The sequence below is a fragment of the Homo sapiens genome, chromosome 20, assembly GCF_000001405.40.
Source record: "Homo sapiens chromosome 20, GRCh38.p14 Primary Assembly".
NCBI lineage: Eukaryota > Metazoa > Chordata > Mammalia > Primates > Hominidae > Homo > Homo sapiens.
The window spans coordinates 29315822-29330894 of NC_000020.11; the positions used below are offsets into that span (position 1 = coordinate 29315822).

General features: G+C 46.9%; 3 pseudogenes, besides 1 other annotated feature; 2 read left to right on the top strand and 1 right to left on the bottom strand.

Moving 5' to 3' along the window:
• Positions 1-15073: part of a centromere (Linear centromere model derived predominantly from reads generated in PMID: 17803354. This region does not represent an actual centromere sequence, as long-range ordering of repeats and unmapped WGS contigs is not provided by the model. For details of model production, see http://arxiv.org/abs/1307.0035.) that runs on past both edges of the window.
• Positions 3001-3944, top strand: DUX4L32 (double homeobox 4 like 32 (pseudogene); annotated as a pseudogene).
• On the bottom strand, positions 5191-5847 carry PCMTD1P7 (protein-L-isoaspartate (D-aspartate) O-methyltransferase domain containing 1 pseudogene 7; annotated as a pseudogene).
• DUX4L33 (double homeobox 4 like 33 (pseudogene)) lies at positions 8271-9228 on the top strand (annotated as a pseudogene).

Sequence of the window (15073 nt, forward strand, 5' to 3'; positions counted from 1 at the left end):
AAAAAGGCAAGCCTAGTGCTGCATGCCTGTAGTCCCAGCTACTCAGGAGGCTGTTGTAGAACAATCACTTGACCCAGCAGTTTGAGGCTGCAGTGAGCTATGATCATGCCACTGCACTCTGGCCTGGGTGACAGAGCAAAACCCCATCTCAAAACAAAGAACAACCAATAACCTACAAGCATACTCAGAGATAGTGTGGGTTTGGTTCCAGACAACCACAATAAGGCAAATGTTACAATCAAGCTAGTCACATAAACATTTTGTTTCCCAGTGCTTACAAAAGTTATGCTTAAACTATGTGCAGTCTAATGAGTATTTAATAATTAATTATTAATTAATTAATTAGTAATCGCATTATGTCTACAAAACTGTGTACATATCTTATCTTAAAATATCTCATTGCTGAAAAATACTAATGAATATCTGAGCCTTACCAAGTCATAATCTTTTTGCTGGTGAGTGAAGGGGTGGCCTGCCCCTCCACACTTGTGGGTATTTCTAGTCAGGTGGGATGAGAGACTGAGAAAAGAAGTAAGACACAGAGACAAAGTATAGAGAAACAACAGTAGGCCCAGGGGACCGGCGCTCAGCATACCAAGGACATGCACCGGCACCAGCCTCTGAGATATCTCAGTTTTTATGGCTTATTATTTTCATTATTTCAGCAAAAAGGAATGTGGTAGGAGAGCAGGGTGATAATAAGGAGATGGTCAGCAAAAAACATGTGAGCAACATGTCTCGCCTCCCCCCATAGGGCAGTTTTTCTCCTATCTCAGAATTGAACAAATGTACAATCGGGTTTTATACTGAGACATTCAGTTCCCAGGGGCAGCCAGGAGACAGTGGCCTTCCTCTATCTCAACTTCAAGAGGCTTTCCTCTTTTACTAATCCACCTCAGCACAGACCCTTAACGGGTGTCGGGCTGGGGGACAGTCAGGTCTTTCTCATCTCATGAGGCCATATTTCAGACTATCACATGGGGAGAAACTTTGGACAATACCCCGCTTTCAATGGCAGAGGTCCCTGCGGCTTTCTGCAGTGCATTGTGCCCCTCGTTTATTGAGACTAGAGAATGGCGATGACTTTTACCAAGTATACTGCTTGTAAACATTTTGTTAACAAGGCACATCCTGCACAGCCCTAGATTCCTTAAACCTTAATTTCATACAACACATGTTTTTGTGAGCTCCAGGTTGAGTCAAAGTGGCTGGGGCAAAGTTGCTGGGGCAAAGCTACAAATTAATAACATCTCAGCAAAGCAATTGTTTAAAGTACAAGTCTTTTTCAAAATGGAGTCTCTTGTGTCTTTCCTTTCTATATAGACACAGTAACAGTCTGATCTCTCTTTCTTTTCTCTACAGTGAGGGTCTTGCCTCTATGTTGATGGCTGTTGACTGATCAGTGTGGGGGCTGCTGAAGTTTGGGTGCCTGTGTCAATTTCTTAAAACAATGAAGTTTGTTCCTTTCACAAAAGATTTCCTTGTAGCATGTGATGCTGTTTGATAGCATTTTATCCACAGTAGAACTTCCTTCAAAATTGGAGTAAACCCTCTCAAACCCTGCTGCTGCTTTATCAACTAGGTTTATGGAATATTCTAAATTCTTTGTTGTTATTTCAACAATGTTCATAGCATCTCCACCTGGAGTAGATTCCATCTCAAGAAAATATTTTCTTTGCTTATCCATAAGAAGCAACTCCCCACTTGCTCAAGTTTCATCATGAGTTTATGGCAATTTAACCTCATCTAAAGGCCCTAATTCTAATTCTGGTTGTCTTGCGATTTCTACCACATCTGCAGGGACTTCCTCCACTGACATCCTGAGCCCTCAAAGTCTTCCAAGAGGGCTGGAATCAACTTCTTCCAAACTCCTGTTAATGTTGATATTTCAATCTCCTCCCACAACCACAAATGTCCTTAATGGCATTTGCTATTAAGGACATTTGTGATTCATGGGAATAGGTTGGAATATCATGAAGGGATTAATGGTGAAACCTTTCCAAAAGGTTTTCAATTCAGTTTATCCAGATTCATCAAAGAAATTACTATCTATGACAGCTATACCTTTACAAAATGCATTCATTATTTAATAAAAACACTTGAAAGTCAAAACCACCCCTTGATCCACAGGCTGAAGGATAGATATTGTATTAGCAGCCATTAATTTCCAAGTACATCTCCATCTAAGCTTCTGGGTAGCTAGGTGAATTGTCAATAAGCAGCAATCTTTTTACATTTTTCTTTTCTTTTCTTTTCTTTTTTTTTCCTTTATGTAGTTTCCCTCTTGCTGCCCAGGCTGGAGGGCAGTGGCATGGTCTCGGCTCACTGCAACCTCCGCCTCCAGGGTTCAAGCCATTCTTCTGCGTCAGCCTCCCAAGTAGCTGAAATTACAGGTACCACCACCATGCCTGGTTCATTTTTTTTTTTTTTTTTTTTGTATTTTTATTAGAGACAGGGTTTCATCATTTCCACCAGGCTGGTCTTGAATTCCTGACCTCAGGTGATCCACCCACGTCAGCCTCCCAAAGTGCAGGGATTACAGGTGTGAGCCACTGTGCCTGGCCAAGCAGCAATCCCTTTAAAGGAATCGTGTTTTTTTTTTTCTTTTTTCTTTTTTTTCTTTATCTGAGCAGTAGGTCTCAATAGTGGGATTAAAATATTCAGTAAACCATGCTCTTAACAGATGTGTTGTCACTCATACTGTGATGTTCCATTTCTAGAGCTCAGCAAGAATAGATTTTGCATAATTCTTAAGGGCCCTGAGATTTTCAGAGTGGTCAATGAGCATTGGCTGTAACTTAAAGTCACCAACTGCAGTGGTCCTCAAAGAGAGTCAGCCCATCCTTTGAAGTTTTGAAGCCAAGTGTTGACGTCTCTCTAGCGATGAAAATTTTACATCTTCACTAGCTTAATCATTTCTAGCTCTGGACTTCAAGTGAGAGACATGCAATTCTTCCTTTCATTTGAGCTCTTTGAGGCCACTGTGCTTACTAATTAACACCCCCGGTGGGTGTCATCCTCCTCCCTCCTCAATCGAGTTCACCCACACCGGGGCGTGGGGAACGGGGCTTCCCACACCCCACATTCCCTGCACGACTGGGGCTCTCCCACAGGGGGCTTTCGTGAGCGAGGGAGCAAAGGCCATTCCTCCGCTCCAGCCTAGCCAGGCTGCGCAGGCAGGAGGAATCTCTCAACCTACCCCGGCACGCGGGGGATTTTGCGTTCGCTGCCCTCGCTCCTCTAGAAGTAGGACTGTTCCACCCTCAGACTCCTAGGTGGCCTCCACACCCCAACAAATGCCAGGAGGACCAGAACCCGCAGCATGGTGGCCTGCTGGGCGCGTGCTCAGTGGGACAGCTTGGGTCCTCTGAAGCTGAGTCACAGGGGCAAGGTGTGTTTGCGCCACCCACGTCCCACCGGAGTCCGCGGTGGGGCTGGAGCCCCAGGTCGCCAGGGCTGCGTGGGAAACGGAAGACGGGGCACCTCCACTTCCGAAGCTCGAGACCCCGGAGGCCTCCGCGTCAAGCACATATGCAAGCCATCCGGGCGCCGCCCAACCGCTCCAGGAGCCGGGGCTCTCGTCTACATTCACCCCCAGCCAGTTAGATGAGCTCCTGTAAACCCCACAGTTTCAGCACAAGGCACAACCTTTCCTAGATCCGGCGCCACTGGGGTAGCTGAAGAACGTGGAAGAGCCCTCTCCGCTGGAACCACTCCTCAGCCAGGAAGAACACCGGGCTCTGCTGGAGGAGCTTTAGGACCGGGGGTTGGGGCGGGGTAGGGGCAGGGCGGCGGCCTCTCTTTCGCGGTGAACCTCTGACTTGGTATAGAGAGGCCTGTCTTCCCTTTCAGCTGACCTGCCTAGGATCCCTGAGTTCCAGGTCCCGTGAGGGATCCACTCAGAGGAGGGCTGTCATTCTTTTCTGAGCATCCCGGGGATCCCAGGGCCCGTCCAGGTACCGGGAGACGGACTGTCTACTGCTCATGCGCGGGTTAGCAGGCAGTAGCCTAGGTTTTCTATCCCTCTTGCCCCCCACCGCGTTCTTCAGTGGGGCAGGCGGAGACCTCCATCCCGGCAAACACTGGCCCGGGCAGGCGCCAGGCCTGCTCTTCTTTCCGCGTCTCGCCACCTCTGCCTCCCCGCCCCACCGTCACTCGCCTACCCTTGCCCCACCAGCTTCCTCGGCATCACCTGGAGTGCCTGACAGCTAAATGCAGACTCGAGACCCCGTGAAAACCAGGGTGCTGCCCTTTCTACGCAGGAGGGAACTCAGGCAGAGAGGAGGAGAGGAACGGAGACAGAGAGGGAGGGAGCGATGGAGGGAGGAAAGAACGGATGGACCGAGGGACCTTGGAAAGGATGGAGGGATAGAAGGAAGGAGAGAGGGAAGGAAGGAGGGAGGGAGGAAGGGAGGAACTGAGGGAGGGACGCAGGGAAAAAGGGAAGGAGGGAGGGAGGGAAGAAGGGAGGAACTGAGAGAGGGACGGAGGGAAAAAGGGAGGGAGGGAGCAAGAAACAGAGAGAGGAAGGCAGAGAAAAAAGCAGTCTTCTGCCTCCAGGACCAGCAGGATCTCGCACTCCGGGAAAATGTTGGGTGCCCAGTGCAGGCTAAGTGCTCGGCCTACAGCCGCGTCGGCCTGCGGGGCTCTCACCGGCCCTCTGGATCGCCAGCCTGGGTTACTTCATCCCGGAGCGATTCAGACGAATTTCCTCTCTCAAGGAATGAGCGAATTGCCCAGAGAGCAATGAGCCGAGACTCGGGTGATTGTCCATTTTTCATCCACGTGGTTCACAGATGAGATAGCCCCACGTTGAGCCTGCAACGGAGCGCGAGGTGGATAGTCCCGTACACACAGGAGTCACACTCAGGCCGACTGAAGCGTGGTTTCGGGTTCCACGTTCCTTTGTCTTCTGCAAGGGGGCCTGTTGTTCATGCGTCTCTGGCCCCCGAAAGGGTGACCATGTTGATTGTTTGTTTCCCGAGCTCTGTGGGGACACAGAAACCTCCAGAGAAGCATGGAAAAGCAGCATCGTGTCTTCGCTCTCCTTTCCAGTTTCCTGTTTGGAAACAGGTCCTAGTGGAGACTCCCTATGTCGCAGGAAACAGGAATCCATCGTCAGGCCGTGATGCACCGGGTGTTTCTTTTCTCTGTAGTTTCGCTCTCGTTTTCTACATGAAAATGAACGAGATCCGTAAGGAATCAGAAAAGGATTTATAGCACACAAGTCTTGACTACTGTTACATTCCACTTTGAAATCACTCTGAGGCGAAACAACAATTTTCCAAGATTTAAAGAAAAATAGATTTTACAAAAGGGATTCTTTTATTCACTCAATACATCATTTATGTTACTGACAGTAACAAGTAGATATTTTTTCCACTATAATTTGCTCTGATGAAATAAATAATTCTTTTAATTCCTAACAAATGCTACATTTTCAAGACTAAAGGAATTATCAGTAGGCATTCTTTCTTCTTGATCTAAGTTATTTGTCTCTAAAATATGTCAAGTAAGCTTTTAAAGATTCAGGGAGAGTCAGCTTCATGATTTTTTCTGTCAGTAAATTTTGAGGTGGCTCTTCTGGCTTCATCGCTTCACTGTGATCTTTTTCTTCCTCTTCTTTGTTATCTTCTTCCATTTTTTCATCCTCCTCACTGTCTAGAGGCTGAGGAATAAGCTGATTACCCACAAATACGTAAGTGGTAATTCTCTGTTTAACTCTTTTTCTTTTCCTTTTGGGTGGAGCCCTTTGAGGAATCCCCTTGGCCTGCATCTCATCATTTATGAAATTTCTAAGTGTGCGTCGAATGTAAATACGAGCCAAGTCCTGTAGATTCCTGACAGTGATTCCTTACAGAACTGTAGGGGTGAGGGTTAGATTTAATTTTATATAAGGTTTAAATAATTGTTAAGCTTATGTAACCTGATCTGAATTTATTAGATAAATGAAAACTTCATTTATCTAATAAGGAAATCAAATGCTTTGTAGATCTATTTACCTTACTTTTGTTGCAATCACTATTGCTGGGTTGCTGTATATATATTCCGGGCAATATATGAGTGCAATAACAATTCAAAATATTGAATAATTTAGCTTTTAAAAAATCCCACAAATTTTATGAAATTTTACAGCCCTGCTACTTTTGCTTTTGAATCTCTTGCCAAAAGACATGAGTAAAATATCTGCTTCTCTCATAGAGATTTTAAGAGGGCAGCAAGTGAATTATTAAAATAGGAAATATATACTTAATACAACTCTTTATATGGACCCTTTACATTTTCAATATTTTAAAAAATGAGGTTACCTTAACTCTCTAGAATTTTTAAAGTATATTTAGAATTGTTTTTTCTGTATTTCACTGTATAAAGTATTTGTTTTTTTAAAAAAGCAAAACCATTGTTATGTGTGACTCTTGATAGGCCACAGAACGAGTGAATGAGCATGAGTAAAGCCACTTTCTTAGACGGCTGTAAGTAGCAGGGCCATGGTAGAGCTGCTCAGTGTATGCACTTTAGCAGATGGAACTTCTAGTTTATCTGAATATTTATCTTTGACAAGGTAGGGCTGAGCCTACATTTGCTTTGGATATTTCTAGTACAAGAAATATTCACAGAAATTGTATGTAGATACCCTTTGTTTAGAAAATCCTGTTCAGAATCATAGTGTAATCTTTGGGACTTACGCCATGCTCATTTGACTTCTTCCTATATTTTTTTATGTTTCTTTTGGTAAAACTATAATGGTTTTCATTTCTTACTTAATATCATACAATTATACTGTCATATTTGAGCATTATTGTAGCTTACCGGTGATAAAAAAACAGGTAGTAACTGCCATTGTTTGTTTCTTTGTTTTCCTAATAAGGCCTGAAAACAGCCATTCCTTGTTAAGAAAGTGTGCAATGCAACGTATTTGCTAGAGTTACATGGATTATATATTTCTTAAAGGGAAAAATTTGAGAGTATCAGGGATTACCACTAGCATTATTATTATAGTAGTTGCTCAGATTTGGTTAAGGAAGCCCAATCAATGTATGGTGAAAGGATTATTTGCTCTCTGCTAAGATTCATATATTGTTTCAAAAATCTCAGCTCCAATAATTCCACAACATCTAAAAACAAGTGTTTGTGATCATGTGTAAGCATGAAACTGTTCCAAGTAAGTGAGGATATTTTAGTTATGTGAAAGACAGTATCAATGGAAGGTTATTTGTTTTATACCAGTGGCTGGGATGGTCGAATTGGGATTATTTCTACAGTTATTCTTAGATGATTACTAAACTGTTAAGAAATGCCCCATATCATTTGTATCTAGGAAAGAAAAAATCAGTATCATGCTGTTGTCATCTGTCAGAAATATTCATTTTATTTTCAATTAAATGTGGCTTTTGAAGTTACCTTGAATTCCTGGTGACCACATGTTTTTATCTGGAAAACCTGGGGAAAGTTATCTGTCCCATCTATCCTGCTGTTTTATTTTTTTTTTATTTTTTATTTTTTTCTTGGTTGGAGCTGCTGTTTAGATGATGCTTTTACTATGTAGGAGAGAGTTTTTGTTAAGGATATATTTGAAGAATGGCTTTTCAATATTGTCTTTCATTCTTTGACCTTGGCAAAGTGTACAGTAGATTTTCATGATCATTGCATATTTCTTGTCATTGAAATGCATCTTTTATGTTTTTAAATGCAATCACTTTACACTTGTGACTTTATCATTGACTTTAAGAGGTAGAAATAAAAAATGAAAATAAAAAAAGAAAATGAATGAGATCCACACACCTGCGTGTGTGAGACTATCATGGCAACGGCGACACCCACAGGCATTGCCACCTTCAGGGAGAGGGTCTGGAAAACTCAAGACTATCATGGAGGTTCAGTTCCACACTCCACCCTTCCAGGGTGGTTTCTCCCTGAAATCTTGTGTGAGCCCAGAGATAAACTTCTAGTTTCTGTAGAATTGTGGAGAACTCAGAGAGCCAGCCCCAGAAGCCCCCCTTTCCCTGCCGATCTGGCCCCACCTTCACCTACCACACAAGGCCCTGTGTCTGTGGTTTCTGGGACCTTCGGAGGGCGGGTTACCCAGGGCCCTTGGGTGCTCATGCATATTCATGAAGGGGTGAAGCTGGTGGGTCTTTATAAGGGCCACTGGCGGGGTTGGACTCCTGCCTGGACCTGCGTGCAACACAGAGGCCAACTGAGGTGCACTGGAGCCGCCGGCCTCTCTCTGCCCGTGTCTATCCATGAAATTCCGGCCAGGTGCCCTCGTGATGGCTCTCCCGACACCTTCTGACAGCCCCTTCCCCGCGGAAGCCCGAGAACGAGGACGGCAAAGGAGACTCGTTTGTAACCTGAATGAAAAAGATGCCCTGCCAGCGTGCTTTGAGCAGAACCCGTACCCGAACTGGCCAGAGAGACCTGCCTTTTGGAGTCCAGGATTCAGATTTCGTGTCAGAATCGAAGGTCCAGGCATCCAGGCCAGGGTGGCAGGGAACTCGCGCACGCAGGCGGCCTGTGCAACGCGGCCCACAGCGGGTGCCACCCTCTCTCCTTGGTCACCTTCACCCACGCCAGGGCGTGGGGAACAGGGGGCTTTCGTGAGCCAGACAGCAAGGGTCGCCCCTCTGCTGCAGCCCAGCCAGGCTTCGCAAGCAGAAGGAATCTCCCAACCTGCCGTGGCACACGGGGATTTTGGGTTTGCTGCCCTGGCTCCTTCGGAAGTGGCGCTGTCCCACCCTCAGACACCTGGGTGACCTCTGCATCCGAACAGATGGCAGGAGGACTAGGACCCGCAGTACGGTGGCTTTCTGGGTGCGAGCTCAATGGGATAGCTTGGGCCACTGAGGCTCAAGGTGTGCTTGCGCCTCACACGTCCCACATGAGTCCGTATTGGGGCTGGGGCCAGGGTCCACAGGTCGCCAGGGCGCGTGGGAATGCGAAGCGGAGGCACATCTACCTCCGCAGCTCGCGCTCATGGAGGCCTCTGTGTGTCAGAAGCAGATGTAAGCCATCCAGGCACCCTCCCAACGGCTCCAGGAGCTGGAGTCTTCATCTGTACTCGCATCCACCCTGTTATATGAGTTCCTGTCGACCCCAGAATTTCAGCAAAAGGCATAACCTTTCCTAGCAATGGAGCCGCTGGGGGAGTTGAAGGACTTGGAAGAGCCCGCTTTTCTGGAACCACTCCTCAGCCAGGAAGAACACTGGGCTCAGCTGGAGGAGCTTTAGGACGGGGGTTGGGACCGGGTGGGGGCAGGGCGGTGGCTCCTCTTTCGTGGTGAACCTCTGGCTCCGTATGGAGACCTGTGTCTTCCCTTCCAGCTGACCTGTCTAGGATCCCTGAGTCCAGGCCCGGCGAGAGACTCCACAGAAAGGAGGGCTGTCATTCTTTCCTGAGCATCCCAAGGATTTCAGAGCCAGCCCAGGTACTCAGAGATGGGCCGTCTACTGCGCATGCGCAGGTCCGCGGGCAGCTGGCTAGGGTTTGGGATCAGCCCAGGCAGGGCTCTCATCCCTTCCCCCGCCCCCCCACGCAGTACACCCCCCTGCCCCCATGTTCTTCAGTGGTGTAGGCGGAGACCTTCATCCCGGGAAATACCGACCCGGGCAGCGGCCAGCCCTGCTCTCCTTTCCGCAGCTCAACTCCACTACCTCCCCGCTCCACCCTCCCTCGCCCACCCGTGCCCTGCCATCCTCCTCGGCATCACGTGGAGCGCCCAGCAACTAAATGTAGACCCCGAGATCTCGCGCAAACCGTGGTTCTGCCCTTTCCAGGCGGGAGGGAGGCCAGGCAGAGATGGGGAAAGGAACGGAGACAAAGTGAGAGAGAGGGACAGAGGGAGGAAAGGACGGACCTTGGAAGGGAAGGAGGGAGGGAGGGAGGGAAAGAAAAAGAGAGGAAGGGAGGAAGGGAAGGAGGGAGAAAGGGAGGTATGCATGGTGGGAAAGAGGGAAGGAGAGAAGAACAGAGGGAGGGAGGGAGACAGGGAGGGAGAGAGGGAGAGAAGGAAGAACAGAGGGAAGGATGGACAGAGGGAGAAAAAGAGCGAGAAACAGAGAAAGGAAGGCAAAGAGAAAAACAGTCTTCTGCCTCCAGGACCAGCAGGACTTCGAACTCCGGGAAAATGTTGGGTGCCCAGTGCAGGCTGAGTGCTCAGCCCACAGCCTCGTCGGCTGGCGGTGCGCTCACCGACCCTCGGGATTGCCAGCCTGGGTTACTTCATCCGGGAGCGATTCAGAGGAATTCCGCCTCCCAAGGAATGAGCGAATTCCCCAAAGAACAGAGCCGAGACTCGAATGGTTGTCCGTTTTTCATCCACATGGTTCACAGATGACATATCCCCACGCTGAGCCTGCAACAGAGCGCGAGGCAGATACTCCCATCCACACAGGAGTCACACTCAAGCCGAGTGAACCATGATTCCGGATTCCACGTTCCTTTGCCCTCTGCAAGTGGGCCTGCTGCTCACGTGTCTCTGGCCCCCGAAAGCGTGACCGTGTTGACTGTTTGTTTCCCGAGCTCTGTGGGGCACAGAAACCTCCAGCGAAGCGTGGAAAAGCAGCATCGTGTCTTCGCTCTCCTTTGGTTTCCAAACAGGCCACTTTGGAGACTCCCCATGTTGCAGGAAACAGGAATCCTTCATCAGGCCGTGATGCCTCAGTCCCCTGCCCAGGCTCAAGGCCCACCAGGCGGCCTCCCTTTCGCTGGCACTCCAGGCCTTCCCCCGGCTCGCGAGCTCCTGAGTTTCCAACACATCTGGCTGGCTCAGGACAGGGTGTGCTTGCAGGCGTCAGGGCCCGGGGCCCACAGTCCTGGGATCCCCTCTGGTCTTCCGCCTTGCAGCGGAAAAATTGTTTTGGATCCCTCGCACCCCTCCTGCAAGGCCCCCTCTTGGCCCACACACCCAGAGCCGTCAGGGCTGCCCAGGGGCGAACAGCAGCCCAGCCCTGCGGGCCCTTTTTCTCACAAGGTCCACACCATCGTCGCTTGTCCCGAAGAGGACCTACCAGTGGCCAACGGGACAGGAAGGCACTGCTTTGCCACGCGCTGGCACTAGAGCCCTGGCAGCCTGATCCCCGGGAAAGAGGGGCTGAGGGACACCCAGACACACCCCACCACTACCACGAGCAAACCCATCCCGACACACACACAGGTACACATGGGTGCATGCACACAGGCACACATGGACACACACACACGGACATACACACATGGACACACAAAGACACACACACGGACACATGGACACACGCACACGGACACACACGGACACACACACAAGGACATACAGACAAAGACACAGACACAGCTTGAAAGAGAGCTAAGGAGACTGGGATGGAGAGATACAAATGGGGGGAGAGAGAGAAAAATGGAGGGGGAGAGAGACAGAAGGTGACAGAAGAGCGAGAGTTGGAGGGGGAAGTAGAGAAAGAGAGAGGGTGAGGGAGTTGTAGAGAGAGAGAGACAGAGCCTTGGAGAGGGAGGCTCTGCTCAGGTAGACAGGGCACTTTGAGCAGGCCGGGGTGAGGTGGAGGGTGCTTGGGCCAGGGTAGAACAGGGGGTCAGGGCCACCCACGCGGGAAAACCAACGGAGCCCTGAGACGTGTTTTTTTTTTCTTGGATTGGTTGGTTGCTTTGGGGGTGCGTTTCATAGGGTCCTTCCTTTGTTTGCTTCTTTCTGTCTCCTTGATGCGGTGGGCCCCGAGATTTGTAGAGTGCACCGGTCCATCTGGTGGAAGCCGTGGCACCGAGCGTGTCCACGGGGCCAGGTCTGGGTCTCTCTCGTGTCCTCGGGACTAGAGTTTACACGACGTTGGTGGCAATGGGAAACAGGGTGCACAGGGACGGATTTCTTCGTGGCTGGCGAAGACAATGTCCTTCCCCCGGGAAAGCAGCCCACCGGTTCTGGAGCGGAGGTCTTGGCTGGCGACTGTGGGACCTGCTGCCCCAACTTGGATGGTTGCGGCGGCGCTTGATGAATGAGTTGAATTGCCTGGGGTCCGGGGAGCAGGAAGACACCCCGGAGGGCAGGAAATCCGCGCCTGTGCCTTCCAGGTCTAGTACCTGCTGCAGCGCCCCGGCTGGAGCCGGGCTCCTGGTGGGGCTGCAGCCAGGCGAAAGAGGTGGGATGCTGCCATCTGGCGGTATTGCCGCTGCAGACCCCCACGAGGAAGTTTCATCTCGACATAAATCTTTTTCTTTCTTCAGCTGATCTGTATCCTTAATTTTAGATTAGTGGTAACTCCACAAATTTAGAGGCACAAAATATGGTTGCCCACACCTTATAATCGCATTACCACCTCCCATTACCACCACCTTTCCCCCTCCTCCCCACCTTCAACCCGTAGACTAGGTCTCGCGATGTTTCCAAGGCTGGCCTAAAACTCCTGGGCTTAAGTTATTTGCCTGCCTTGGCCTCTCAAAGTGCTGTGATCGGCGGTGTGAGTCACCATGACCAGCCAACCACCACCAAGTTTTGATTCAGTAGCACTGGGTTGTGGAGCTAAGGATCCACAAATTTAGAAAAGTTTTTAAATATCATAACGTTTCTGTGTGGAAATAGTATTTGGTATTACATTTTTAGACTCTTTTATAATGTTCTGTTTTTTTCCACCGAGCAGAATACTAAGTAGTAATTGGAAAATCACAGCATAAGTCATATTAATTTTTTTAATACAGAGTCCTTGGCTCTTCTCTAAGCTAAACCTGATCACCTATATTGAGTAAAAGAAAAAGCCCCAGAGTGTGAAGAGACAGGGGATAGTAGCCAAACATCCAAATAGGTGGGAGTGAATAAGGCAGATGACAGAGATGAGATGTCCAAAGGTCAAGGAGAAAGCCAGATCTTAAAGTGTGGTTTGCGAAGCTATGCTTCAATGGAAATCTTTTCTGAGAAGCCCTGATTTATTTCTCTTGCTTTCGTTAAAGACTGACATCCTCTGCCCCATGCTCTTCAATTTTCTAGGACTGAACTTCCCCTTCAACGATCATTCTTCTAGGTTACAAAGAAAATCAAAGCCCTTTGCATGGCTTATAAGGGACTGGAGGACATGGTTGCTTGCTCTTTTATTGCTTTTGAGGACATGGAGCTGTCTGTGATTTTTAAGGAACTCTATGATAAGCATTTTCTAATTTCCATTTTGAGTCTTGTCTAAAATGTGTGAGAGCAGTGGAGATATTGGGATTTGGTTTAGAAATCACAGAAACACCATATCCAGATGTCGTAACTTTTCTGCTTTATAATTTCATATCCTGTGAAGGTTTCAAAAGTGATTCTACAGAAATTCATACTCAATAATTTTATCAGAATACTAAGCATCTGCCCCATATAATAAAACCAAATGTTATTTTACTTCAAAATTTTAAGTTTTTGGTATGTATTGAGGCTAATACTGTAAACACTCTGTGCCATAATTCCTAAACTGTAATATGGTTTAATGTATCTACTTTCTACATTTAAAACGTGTACTTTGCCATTGAGGAACTCAAAATATTGTTGAGCATGTATTAAATACCCATTTGTTTCCTGATTTTTAAATAGTTATCATTTTACAATTTTGCCTTGCTTAGTTTGAAGCTTACTAGGATTTTGTCATTGATATGTGTGTGTGTATATATATATATATATATACATACACACACACACAATTATATACATAACAACATATGTAATTGATATATATGTATATGTTTTATATATGTCTATATACACACTTATATGAATATATGCATGTGTACATAACATTAATTTTTTGGCCAATAAAAATTGCATAATTATGTATTGTGTACATTATAAAAATTTGATAGATATATATTGTAAAATGTTTAATACAATTAAGTTGATGAACATTTATGTCACCTCACATGGTTATGTTTTTTGTAGTGAGAGCATTTGAGGTCTCCTACTGTTGTAGCAAATTTTAAGCATACAAAACACTGTTATTAACTACATCTTAAAGCTGTACATTAGACCCCCAAAACTTATTTATCTTATAACTGAAAGTTTGTACTCTTTGAACACCTTCTCATTTTTTCTACCTCCAGGCCTGGTCATTACCATTGTACTCTCTGCTTCTATAAGTTCAGGCTTTTTAAATTCTCCATTTAAGTGCGAACACACAGTGTTTGTCTTTCTGTGCCTGGCTTATTTTACGTAGCATAATATACCCAGGTCCATTCATGTTGTTGAAATAGCAGAATTTCATTCTTTTTTATGGGTGAATAATATTCGGTTGTCTATTTATACCACATTTTCCTTATCCATTCAGCATCTACAGATAAGTCATTTTTAAAAAAAAATATCCTTGACAGTTGTGAATAATGCTGCATTGAATACAGGAGTGCAGATAATTTTTGAGATGCTGATTTTATTTTGTTTATTTAGAGAAGTGAAATTTCGGGATTGTACGATATTCTATTTTTTAAAATAAACTGTGTGCTAATTTTCATGACTCTTCCAGTCTGCAACTCATTAAGACTGTACAGAAATATTTTGTCACATCCTTGTTAACACTTGTCATGTTTCTTTTTTTGATATTAGCCATTCCAACTGCTGTAAAGTGGTATCTTTTTATTTGCAATTTTCTCATGAATGGTAATGTTTAGCATCTTTCTACATATCTCTTGGCCATTTGAATATGTTTGTATAAAATATTTAGTCTCGGTCAGTGGAGCCAAGAGGGCCGAATAGGAACAGCTCCAGTCTACAGCTCCCAGCGTGAGTGACACAGAAGATGGGTGATTTCTGCATTACCAACTAAGGTACCAGGCTCATCTCACTGGGGAGTGCTGGTCAGTGGGTGCAGGACAGTGGGAACAGCACACCGCGCATGAGCCGAAGCAGGGTGAGGCATCACCTCACCTGGGAAGCACAAGGGGTCAGGGAATTCCCTTTCCTAGTCAAAGAAAGGGGTGACAGATGGCACCTGGAAAATCGGGTCACTCCCACCCTAATACTGCACTTTTACAACCTGCTTCACAAACAGCACACCAGGAGATTATATCCTGCACCTGGCTCGGAGGGTCCCATGCCCATGGAGCCTTGCTCATTGCTAGCACAGCAGTCTGAGATCA